Below are 13,124 nucleotides of genomic sequence, written 5' to 3'. Positions count from 1 at the left end.
TAAATCTATTCATTAAGAAAAAGTTCAGAAAGTCTCTGTTTTTAAACCATACCTGGCCTTGCAATTCTGGTCTTACAGGATATGTACTTGGGTAAGGAGCCCTAGATCTCGCAGTAGAATTCCAATAGTTAGAATTGTAGCTAGGATATGGTGGCTGCTCCTAAGAAAAAAAGAAAAATAAATTCACTCTTAATAACATTCATACATCATTTTAAGATAGATTGATAGAGGCAGGTTATAAGGATTAAAAAAAAAAGCAATAGACAAAAAGCAATAAGCTGGGCACAGTGGCACACGCTTCTTGTCCCACTACTGCGGAGGCTGAGGTGGGTGGATCGCTTGAGCTCAGGTGATTGAGTCTAGTATGGTCAAGAGAGACCCCGTCTCTTAAAAACAAAAAATAAAAGAAAAAAGGGAATAGGACCCCAACTATAAAACTGCTAATTATTCAGTACATGGTAAATCAAATGCTCTATGACAAAACAATTATTACCTAGTAAAAAGCTGTTCTTATCTGTTTCGACAATGCCACCACACCAAATGCTATATAAAGGAATTCTACTACATCAAGATGATTAGCAAAATCAGAGACATTAGATCACCTCTATCCTTCTCCAATAACTAATCCTCAAGACTACTAATTTAATTAGTGCAACAAAATGGTTCTTTGCTACTGTTATATTTACCAATAACTTTGGAACACAAAGACATTACTACTAGAGTTTCGCTCAAGCACATACATCTTCAATCTCCAACTTCTTTGCCTTGACACACCCTAGTTTTTCATATTCTACTCTGTGCTATGGCTAAGCTTTCCGCTGGCAGCCTCAGTGTCAGGCATTGATGCAGAACATTTACCAATCCAAAGAGAAAATCTAGCTACGACAATAATTTCATCAGCCTTTCTCTCCAACTCAGAAAGTTAACGCATGATTTGCAATAAGCCAATAAACTTTGATAAAAGACTAAATATACTCAAAACTTCTCAGAGCACCTATTATCTGGTTTATTACATACATTTATTATCCTATGAGTTATTTTGCTTTCAACTGTATAGATTTAGGGTTTTTTTTTTTTTTTTTTTTTTGAGACAGAGTTTCGCTCTTGTTGCCCAGGCTGGAGTGCAATGGCACGATCTCGGCTCACTGCAACCTCCGCTTCCCAAGTTCAAGCAATTTTCCTGCCTCAGCCTCCTGAATAGCTGGGATTACAGGCACCTGCCACCACGCCCAGCTAATTTTTTGTACTTTTAGTAGAGACCGGGTTTCACTATTTTGGCCAGGCTGGTCTTGAACTCCTGACCTCAGGAGATCCACCCGGCTTGGCTTCCCAAAGTGCTGGAATTACAGGCGTGAGCCACACTGTGCCCGCCCAAGTATAGTTTTAAGCTTGAACAGGACCTTCGACATTTTTTCTAAAACTTTGAATATGATTTCACAAAGAAATTCATTGGCAGCTGAAATAACTGAGAGATTATCACTATTAGCTTAACTGCACTACTTATCCATTTCATAATACTTTGTTTTCAGTAATACTTTGAATTTTTTTCAGTAATCATAATTATCAACACTGTTGGTACTGTTTGTTATCTTGGTACTGTTATGCGGGTATTATAGTTGCAAATGAATACTTACATTGGTATTGTTGGGAATCAGTATTTTCACAATGGGAGATAGGAGACACAGATATAAGAATAATGAAACTTAAAACCTTATAATCCTTAATTTGAATTGTAAATATCAGTATGAATTCAAACTGTATTTTATCTTCTTTAAAAAACCACCAACTTGGCCAGGCACAGTGGCTCACGCCTGTAATCCCACCACTTTGGGAGGCCTGACGCGGGTGGATCACCTGAGGTCAGGAGTTCGAGACCAGCCTGGCCAACACGGTGAAACCCCGTCTCTACTAAAAATACAAAAATTAGCTGGGTGTGGTGGTGGGTGCCTGTAATCTCAGCTACTCAGGAAGCTGAGGCACGAGAATAGCTTGAACCCAGGAGACAGAAGTTGCAGTGAGCAGAGATCATGCCACTGCACTCCAGCCTGGGCCACAGAGCAGAGACTCCGTCTCAAAAAAAAAAAAAAAGACAACCCACCAACTTGGGCTGGGCGCAGTGGCTCAATCTGTAATCCCAGCACTTTGGGTAGCTGAGGCAAGAGGATTGCTTGGGGCCAGAGACCAGGAGTTCAAGACCAGCCTGGAAAATAATGAGACTCAGTCTTTACCCAAAAAAAAAAAAAAAAATGTCAGGTGGGCGTGATGATGGGTGCCTATAGTCCCAGCTACTCAGGAGGCTGAGAGGTGAGAGGCAGAGGCAAAGTCCAGAAATTCAAGGTTATGGTGAGCTATGATCTATGATTGTGCTACTGCACTCCAGCCTGGGCAACAGAGTAAGACCCCATCTTTAAAAAGAAAAAACCTACTGACTTGATAACCACACACAGAATATAATTCAAATAATTCTTGAACAGTTTTCTGAATGGACATCTTTAGTGGTACCTTTCTAAAAGCAAAAGAAATTTAAAAATATCTTAAACTCTTCATATAATGTTATTAGTAGTGATATTACTATCTTAATTTTTAAACTATATTGTGTGTATTGTAGAATAGAATAAATACATACAGTAGTGTTATTGGGAACCGATATTGTCACGAGGACAAGGAAAGATAAAATATGGAATGGGGCAAAATGAGGAAGAACTGGGGGATAGTGAATGTGGTGGTGTCATTACAAACTCACATAAGTAAAAAACATAATTTGGCTGGGTGCAGCGGCTCACACCTGTAATCCCAGCACTTTGGGAGGCCAAGGCAGGTGGATCACGAGGTCAGGAGATAGAGACCATCCTAGCTAACACGGTGAAACCCCATCTCTACTAAAAATACAAAAAATTAGCCAGGTGTGGTGGCGGGCGCCTGTAGTCCCAGCTACCTGGGAGGCGGAGCTTGCAGCAAGCCTAGATCACGCCACTGCACTCCAGCCTGGGCAACAGAGGGAGACTCCGTCTCAAAACAACAACAACAACAACAAAACGTAATTTAACCTTTTATGCAAAACAAACAAATATGGATAAAAGTGACAGTGTGCCAGTCCACACAAAGGATTTAGGAGTCGCTGCAAATTCTAGCAACCCTCTTGTGTTCCCATGCCCTCCACAAGACCTACATTATCTTATATGGGAGCTGTGTTTTCAACTGAAGTCCCAGGATGAGAAGACACACAGGTAGACCTGAACTGAACCTGGGGCCTAGAGAAGAACCACTAGAGTGGACTCACAGAACCTGAGCAAGAAATAAATGTTTATCATTATAAGCTACTAAAATTCTGGAATTGTTGTTTCAGTATAGGAAAAGTCAATTAATGCAATAACTAACAATCAAGTTGGTAACATAACCACAGAGAAAAAAGAATTACTTCAAATGACTTTTAGCTCACGTTATTTTGACTGTACGTCCTCAGTGGAATTTATTCTCTAAGGACAAGCTGAACTGCAAAGAAACCGAAACTGCATCCATTAGTTGTTACTCATAAAACTGGTATTCTTATTTTCAAGTTTTACTCACTACCATCCAATTCACCTATTTAAAGTATATAATTCAGGCCTGGCATGGTGGCTTACGTCTGTAATCCCAACACTTTGGGAGGCCGAGGTGGGTGGGTCACTTGAGGTCAGGAGTTCAAGACCGGCCGGGCCCACATGGTGAAACCTCGTCTCTAATAAAATACAAAAATGAGCTGGGTGTGGTGGCGGGCAGCTACTCAGGAGGCTGAGGCACGAGAATTGCTTGAACCCAGGAAGCAGAGGTGTAGTGAACTGAGATTGCACCACTGCACTCCAGCCTGGGCAACAGGGTGAGACTCCATCTCAAAAAAAAAAAAAAAATTAGCCGGGCATGGTGGCACACACCCGTAGTCCTAGCTACTTGGGAGGTTGAGGCAGGAAAATTGCTTGAACCTGGGAGGCGGAGGTTGCAGTGAGCCAAGATCGTGCCACTGCACTCCAGCCTGGGTGACAGAGCAAGGCTCCATCTCAAAGATAAACAAATAAATAAATAAAAAGTAAATAAAAAGCTGATATTAAAGTAGCCACTCCAGCTTTCTCATAGTTGCCTTTTGCATATTTTTATATATATATACATATATATGTATACATGTATATATGTATACATGTATATGTATACATGTATATATGTATACATGTATATATGTATATATATGTGTACATGTATATATATGTATACATGCATATATATATGTGTATACACGTATATATATGTATTTATATGTGCATATATGTAATTTTTAATTAATAAAAGTAGTACATATTTTTGGGATACATGTGATATTTTGATACATGTATATAAAGTGTAATGATCAAAACAGGGTAACTGGCATATCTGACACCTCAAACATTTATCTTTTCTTTATTGCATTATATTTCTTTTTCCATCCATTTACTTTCAAACTATTTGTATCTTTAAACCTTAAGTGTGCCACCTTTAGACACCATATAATTGGATCTTGTTTTTTTTTTAATCCAGTCTGTCTTCTGACTAGATTGCTTAATCCATGCACATTTAATATTATTGATATAGCTGGATTTACATGTTTTATTTTTACTTTTTGTTTTTTATATGTCTCATGTGTTTTTGTCCTTTATTCCACCTTTACTGCTTTCTTTTGCATTAAGTGAATATTTTCAAATGTAGCATTATAACTTAATGATTATACTTTTTTTTTCTTTAGCAGTTACTCTTGGGCTAACAATACACTTCTTCTTCTTCCTTTTTTTTTTTTTTTTTTTTTTGAGACGGAGTCTCACTCTATCACCCAGGCTGGAGTGCAGTGGCACGATCTCGGCTCACTGCAAGCTCCGCCTCCCGGGTTCATGCCATTCTCCTGCCTCAGCCTCCCAAGTAGCTGGGACTACAGGCGCCCGCCACCACGCCCGGCTAATTTTTTTTTTTTTTTTTTTTTGTATTTTTAGTACAGACAAGGTTTCACCATGTTAGCCAGAATGGTCTCGATCTCCTGACCTTGTGATCTGCCCACCTTGGCCTCCCAAATTGCTGGGATTACAGGCGTGAGCCACAGCACCCAGCTGGGCTAACAATATGCTTCTCATCAGAATCAGCTTCTGATTTATACCAACTTAATTCCAGTGAGATACAGGAATGCTATTCCTATATAAGTCTGTTCCTTTTCCCCTTTTTTGTGATTTTATTGTAATCCACATTATGTCTACAAATGTTACAAACTCAACATTATATTGTTATACTTATTACTTTATATAATGTCTTTTAAAGAATCTGAGAAGAAAAGAGCATATTTGCATCTTTTGTTATATTAACCTTGTTATTAATCATTTCTGATATGCTGGTGTGTTCAATGGTGTCTGACACTTCTCCAACACATCAGTCTTTTTTCTCTCCTTCATATTGCATAATCTGTATTGATCTATCTTCAAATTCATGAATTCTTTCTTCTGTCAGTTCTAGCCTATTGAACTCCTCTAGTTAATTTTTCATTTTAGTTACTGTACTTTTCAACTCCAGAATTTCTATTTGTTTCTTTTTTAATATATAATTGCTATCTCTTTATTGATATTCCCTATTTGACATGACATTATCACACACCTTTCTTTGCTTCTTTAATCATAGTTTTTTAGTTATTTGAACATATATAATGGCTACTTTGAAGTCTTTGTCTATTAAATGTGACATCTGGTCACTTTCACAATCAGTTTCTGTTACCTGCTTTTTTTCCAGTGTATGGGTCATACTTTCCTGTGTCTTTGCATAGCTCATAATTCTTTGTTGGAAACTAGACATTTTAGCAACTCTGAGTACTACTGGTCCCACCTTTTCCACCTTAGGCTTGTTATTGTCATTTGCTCATTTGTTTAGTAACCAGCTGGATTATTTTTGCAAAGTCTGTTTGCCCTCAAACTTCAAGTATGAAGTATGTGATATTGCTCATTAGAAGGCACAGCCTTGGGTATGCCCACAGTCATCCTGGATGACAAAGATTTTTGTAAGACTTTCTTTGAGTGTATCTTTCCTTGACCACATCTAGTTGTTAAAGCTTCACTAATTTCCAGCTGATTGCTCTACTGGTTTTAATAACACCCTGAGGCATAAATTGCTCCACAGACTGAGTAGATCAAATTTGGGTCCCTCTAAAGGGACAGTTAGTTCCCAAGGTCAGTGTTTGAGAGTTGTTCTGATACCAAAGGGCTCCTCCTAGCTTCTTCTTTTCCTGGTTCTCTCCAGCAAACTAGCTGGCCTACTAGTTTATCCTGCATCTCCAGTGAATCTAACCAGTCTCTTCCCTATTGCTTTGCACAACAACCTCCGCAGTTTTTTTGACTTTCTCCACACTCCTGAGCTTCTCCATACTTTGTTCCTTTAGGAAAAGATTAGGAGCTACCTGTTTTACAGCCTACTTCTGCTTCCAGATAAAACATCTGAGCCACTCTCTACAGCTAGAGTGGGGACAATGGTGTGTTTATCTGAATGGCATCCCTGCTTTACGAAGTGGAGTACCCACGGGAAGGGAGGCTGTAGACTTAGGGCTTCTCGGCTTGAAAAGCAAGGGTAAAGGAGATCAGAGCCCCAGTATTTTCAGCAGTGCCTTGCCCAAGGTCAAGTCTCCATCCTAGGAGTAGGGACTGGGTGAAAGAAAGGAACCACCACCACTCAGCCACAATTACCTAGAATTTTGCCTCAGTGACAGGCATCTGAGGCAAAATGAGAAATGTTGGTACGCTACTCCTCCTCCTAGGATGAAAACCTTCTGACTGAGGCTATGAGGTGGAATACATGGAGCTGGAGCCCTGTGTTCTTGGCTACACCCTCTAGAGTAAAGTTTCTATCTCACTAGCTGCAAAAAAGGAGGGATGGAGGAGCTTTTAGTTCAAATACCACAGACCCAATGTTCTTACTGACTTTTGTAGATTTTCTTGAACAAGTGTTTCTTCATGGCCAGGCGCGGTGGCTCACACCTATAATCCCAGAACTCTGGGAGGCCAAGGCAGGTGGATCACGAGGTCAGGAGTTCAAGACCAACCTGACCAACATGGTGAAACCCTGTCTCTACTAAAAATACAAAAATTAGCTGGGTGTGGTGACACATACCTGAAACCCCAGCCACTCAGGAGGCTGAGGCAAGAGAATCGCTTGAACCTGGGAGGTGGAGGTTGCAGTAAGCCGAGATCGCCAAGATGGCGCCATTGTACTCCAGCCTGGGTGACAGAGCGAGACTCTGTCTAAAAAAAAAGGTGTTTCTTCATTTGCTATATTCCCTAGGACCATTTCCAGAAACTGTAATTTGTTGTTTTTTAAAATTAATGTTCACCAGTTTCACTGGGGACTAGGTCCACAGAATTCTTCATGCTGTCATGCCAGAACTGGAACCTGGCATTATTTTGAACTTATTTTATACATTATTGTTAGATTGTGCAAATATTTGTAATTAAGTTAGGAATCAAGATTTTTTTCATATAAAATATACAAAGAAGTTAAAATTCCTATAATGTTAAATTTGAATTAATATAAATATGAACTCATTTATTTTTCTATTTTAAAATACTTATTTTATAATTCTGCCCTTTGGAAAGGTCTAGACACAATGACAACACAATAACAATTAGTATATATGCCAGGCACCCAACTGTAATTTCTGTACCAAGTATTAAGGTATTGCCCCTTGCCCCTCAGGTCCAAACACAGCATTCTATTTTTTTTTTTTTTTTTGAGACAGAGTCTCACTCTTGTTGCCCTGGCTGGAATGCAGTGGTGCGATCTCGGCTCAATGCAATCTCCACCTCCCAGGTTCAAACCATTCTCCCGCCTCAGCCTCCCGAGTAGCTGGGATTACAGGCATGCGCCACAACGCCCAGCTAATTTTTGTATTTTTAGTAGAGACAGGGTTTCACCATGTTGGCCAGGATGGTCTCGATCTCCTGACCTCGTGATCTGCCCACCTCAGCCTCCCAAAGCGCTGGGATTATAGGCGTGAGCCACTGCGCCCGGCCGCAAGCACAGCATTCTATACTTGGCTCTGTGATGTAAGGCTGGAAGTCTACAAACCTTTCTCCCTCCCCAGCTTGCTTGCTTTCTGGTTCTGCCAACACACTATGCTAGGCTAGAGGAGGAGACAGTGGACTTGCTTCTTCCTGTCTGCTGTTTCTGTCAGTGTCAACACCGCAATGCCATTCAACCTGTACGCAGCAGTCAGTCAACAACACTCTCCGACCCGAACGTCCTCAGAGGTATCTGCACCAGGTAGGAGGCGCCACCTCCTGGCCACTCTTCCAAGTTTCCAGGTTCTTTTTATATTTTTATTTTATTTTATTTTATTTTATTTTATTTTATTTGAGACAGGGTCTCACTCCGTCACCCAGACTGGAGTGCAGTGGCACAATCACAGCTCACCACACCCTCGGCCACCTGGGCTCAGGTGATCCTCCCACCTCAGCCTCCTGAGTAGCTAGGAATACAGGGGCCCACCACCACATTTGGCTAATTTTTGTATTTTTTGTAGAGACAGGATTTTGCCATGTTGCCCAGGCTGGTCTTGAACTCCTGGGCTCAAGCAATCCACCTGCCTCAGCCTCCCAAAGTGCTAGGATTACAAGCGTGAGCCACTGCGCCCGGCCATTCTTCCAAGTTTCCTGGCTATAATCACTCCAACCTCTTCCCTTTATTCCCCAGCCCCAGGAATTGTAGCTGCTTCCTCCACTTACTATTTTCTGTTACTTCTGTGTTCTCTTTTTCCCTTTTCATAACTCCAATAACCTGTTTAGCTAATTTCCTAAATCAAATTCTAACTAGTGTGGTTTCTGTTTTCCTGCTCAGATCCTGACTTAACGGTTTCTAAATGTAATTCTCCACTTGGGAGAAAAATACAATCAAGTTCTTAAGGAATGGCTGATTATGTGTCTTGGGACAAAATATATACAAAGCCTGAGACATCTTGTTGTACCAGAAATCAAGGAAGCTATCAAAAATCAATGGGTCATGCCAGGCACGGTAGCTCACGCCTGTAATCCCAGCACTTAGGGAGGCAGAGGCGGGAGGATAGCTTGAGCCCAGGAGTTTGAGACCTCCCTGGGGAATACAGTGAGAACCTGTTCTCCACAAAAAGAAAAAGAAAAAAAAAATCAATAGATTATGTCCAAAGGAATCAGAAGCCAAGAAAAAGGGACTCCCATTGACATAATATGGTATCATTTAAGCATCAAAAAGAATGACTGCTATCTGCTGCTAAGGTTTCCAGTACAGATGCAAGGAAAAAAGTGTCCTTATGCTTTCCGTCTGTCTGATTGTGGCAGCTGAGATTAAATAGAAGAATACAGGGAAACTGGAATAACCTTGAAAACAGTGAAGAGCCTGTTTTACTCAGAAGAATCTAACTTTTGAGTCGGCAGGAGAAGTTCTGGGAAATAGCCCTTACCACCCTTACCTGGTTGATTACACTTGCAAAAGCTTAAAGGTGGCCAGGCACAGTGGCTCATGCCTGTAATCCCAGAACTGTGGGAGGCTGAGGCAGGTGGATCACAAGGTCAGGAGATCGAGACCATCCTGGCTAACATGGTGAAACCCCATCTCTACTAAAAATACAAAAAAAAATTAGCCAGGCCTGCTGGCGGACGCCTGTGGTCCCAGCTACTCAGGAGGCTGAAGTGGGAGAATGGCATGAACCCGGGAGGCGGAGCTTGCAGTGAGCCGAGATTTCGCCACTGCACTCCAGCCTGGGCGACAAAGAGAGACTCTGTCTAAAAAAAAAAAAAAAAAAAAAAAAAAAGATGGGTCAGTATGTATAGCTCAGTTGTGGTGGTGGTGGTGGTGGTGGTTATGTAATTGTATGTATTTATCAAAACTCACAGAACTATACCCTAAAGACAGTGAAATTTACTTTTTGTAAATTATGCCATAATTTTTTTAATGAAAAAAAGAATGTCCTCAATGAAGCACTAAAAAGTATAATTTTATTGTCTTAAGGAAAAAAATAATGTCTTTGTCTTTTTTTTCCTCCTTTTGGACAAAATGGGACAAATCTAAAAATATCCCTAGTAACAGTGAAAGTCTGTAGCTCATGGCCCTCCCAACATGACACTAATTCTATGAAATAGCATTTGGTTTCACAGGAAACTGGCTGAAGCTGAACTCTATTCTATAAACTAAGTTACCAATTTTATCATGTGCCTAACTCTTTCCAAACTTTTTATTTGTTGAATGAAATACAAACTAAAACAAAGGTAATAAAATGTTTTCACAAGCCACAATAATGTGAATTAAAGTTCTATGCCAAAGAAAATTTGATTAAAATTATGCAAGATAACTAATTTATTTCCTTTCTTCTGAGAAATAAATAATCCCAGCTGAAGACTGGAGTCAATTCCTTTAAAGTGGATATGTGATTACATTTTCCAAAATGACTTACCAACATTCCCCCAAACTGAAACCCCAGTCCAAGCAAATCTAACAGCAGAGGAATCAGTAGCACTCGTACTACATAAATTCCATTTACAGATTTGCTTATATTTTTCATAAGAATTGGACAAAAATTATTAGTAAAGTACATAAGTTATTTGTATAGCTATATGGTTCATAATCACTAACAAATCACCTTATGCTCCTATACTGACCATCATAATTTTTTAACTTTTCAAACTCATTTGGATCTCTTCCAAATGCTTCTCTGTGTTGTCCCTCTTGCCCCAGCATCTGGTTCAAACATTTACCACATAAATTTTGCAGAGCATCCCATTCTACTTCCCTTACTGTAAGATGACCTAGCTTCCTACTCCACCACGAAAGGAGACCAATAGCTGTCAATGCCCCTCTGCTCCAACTCCAAACTTGTTACTTTTCTCCCTTTAGCTCAAAAGGTTTCTCAACTCTAACTCTTTTCCCTTACTTCCTTTTTTTTTTTTTTTTTTTTTTTTTTTTTTGAGATAGTCTCGCTAGGCAGCCCAGGCTGGAGTTCGTGGCATGATCTCGGTCACTGCGACCACCGCCTCCCTGGTTTGAGCAATTCTCAGACTAGCTGCAATTACAGGCGCCCGCCACCACGCCCGGCTAATTTTTGTTTTTCTTTTTCTGGGACAAGGTCTTGCTCTGTTGCCCAGGCTGGAGTGCAGTGGTGTGATCTCGGCTCACTACAACCTCCATCTCCCAGGTTCAAGTGGTTCTCCTGCCTCAGCCTCCCAAGTAGCTGGGATTACAGGTGTGAGCCACCACACCTGGCTAATTTTTGTATTTTTAGTAGAGACGGGGTTTCACCACGTTGGCCAGGCTGGTCTCAAACTCCTGACCTCAGATGATCTGCCTGCCTCAGCCTCCCAAAGTGCTGGGATTACAGGCGTGAGACACCGCACCCAGCCTAAAGTTTTACTCTAAAAAAACATAGGGAGTGGCCGGGTACCAAAAATACAAAAGTAGTCGGGCATGGTGGCGGGTGCCTGTAATCCCAGCTACTTGGGAGCCTGAGGCAGTAAATCGCTTGAACCTGGGAGGTGGAGGTTGCAGTGAGCCAAGATGGCGCCATTGCGCTCCAGCCTGGGCAAAAAGAGCAAAACTCCGTCTCAAAAAAAAATTTAAAAAAAAAAAGGCTGGGCGCGGTGGCTCACGCCTGTAATCCCAGCCAAGGCGGGCGGATCACGAGGTCAGGAGATCGATACCATCCTGGCTGACACGGTGAAACTCCGTCTCTACTAAAAATACAAAAAAATTGGCCGGGCGTGGTGGCGGGTGCCTGTAATCCCAGCTACTCGGGAGGCTGAGGCAGGAGAAGGGCGTGAACCCAAGAGGCGGAGCTTGCGGTGAGCCGAGATCAGGCCACCGCACTCCAGCCTGGGTAACAGAGTGAAACTCGGTCTCAAAAAAAAAAAAAAAAATAGTGATAGATTTCTAATTTTTTCCCTGCCATACTTAAATGTGTTAATATAGTCAAGTCTGTGTTGTAGTTCAGTACATCATCTAAATATAATCAGTTCTATAGAGCAATGCTTCTGAAATATTAATGTGCATATGAATCACCTGGGGATCTTAATAAATTGCAGCAGTAAGTCTGGAAGAGGAGAGATTTTGCATTTCTATCAACCTCACAAGTGACACCGAGGCTTCTAGTCCATGGACCACACTTTTTGAGTAGCAAGGTTATAAAAGGTTCCTATACTGTTTGTTTTTTTAATTTGACAGATGTATACTATAAAAATGCAAAACATAAAAAAAAGTCAAAATAACAAATCTGGAAAAAACATTGCAACATCTGTGACAACATGCATATCTTTTTTTTTTTTTTTTTTTTTTTTTTGAGACGGAGTCTCGCTTTGCTGCCCAGGCTGGGGTGCAGTGGCATGATCTCGGCTCACTGCAACTTCTGCCTCCCGGGTTCAAATGATCCTCCTGCCTCAGTGCCCCTAGTAGCTGGGATTACAGGCATGCGCCACCATGCCTGGCTAATTTTTGTGTTTTTAGTGGAGGTGGGGTTTCGCCATGTTGACCAGGCTGGTCTCGAACTCCTGACCTCAGGTGATCCACCTGCCTCAGCCTCCCAAAGTGCTGGGTTTACAGGCGTGAGCCACCACGCCCGGCCAACATACATATCTTTGGTATGAGTTTTCTATTGCTGCAGAAAAATTACCATCCTATACTTTTAAAGTTTCAGAATCATCAATCTGAAAGATAGTACAAACTATTAAAATGGTTTACAAATGCCCATTACACATTTCCACCTTTATCTCCAACTACTTCAGCACCATCACCCACCCTGTGGGCACAAATGTACTCAAACCACACCTGACAACCCCTTACACAATGCTAAAATCTTAACTTCTTTAGTCTATCCAACCCTCCCTAACTCTATGCCAGAAAACAGACTTTGGTTTTGATAATACAGCAGGCCCAGCAAAAGTCAGTCATCAGTTTAGAGGTCCTCTCCTCTTTCCCCACTTCAACTGATTTTTGGTCTAATTTGGCCAAGCATTTCACCATTCTATAGTCCCATGACCTATGTATTCCAGATTTAGGCTGAGAAAATATGGATCTTTCTTTCTTTATTTTTTTTTTTGAGATGGAGTTTCGCTCTTGTCTCCCAGGCTAGAGTGGAATGG

General features: G+C 41.1%; 1 protein-coding gene across 2 annotated transcripts in view; it reads right to left on the bottom strand.

Moving 5' to 3' along the window:
- Positions 1-13,124, bottom strand: part of BAG4 (BAG cochaperone 4) — a 36,447-nt gene that overhangs the window by 20,454 nt on the left and 2,869 nt on the right. Inside the window, exon 2 of one of the 2 annotated variants that reach the window (NM_004874.4) lies at positions 53-160. The exons of the other annotated variant lie outside the window; for it this stretch is intronic. Coding sequence (NP_004865.1) covers positions 53-160 — 108 coding nt within the window. The remainder of the gene's footprint in view (positions 1-52; positions 161-13,124) is intronic. 2 annotated transcript variants of the gene reach the window in all.

The sequence above is a fragment of the Homo sapiens genome, chromosome 8 (assembly GCF_000001405.40).
Source record: "Homo sapiens chromosome 8, GRCh38.p14 Primary Assembly".
In the NCBI taxonomy this organism is placed as follows: domain Eukaryota; kingdom Metazoa; phylum Chordata; class Mammalia; order Primates; family Hominidae; genus Homo; species Homo sapiens.
Note: the sequence above shows the minus strand (reverse complement) of the source record. Positions and strands in the feature narration are given on the sequence as shown.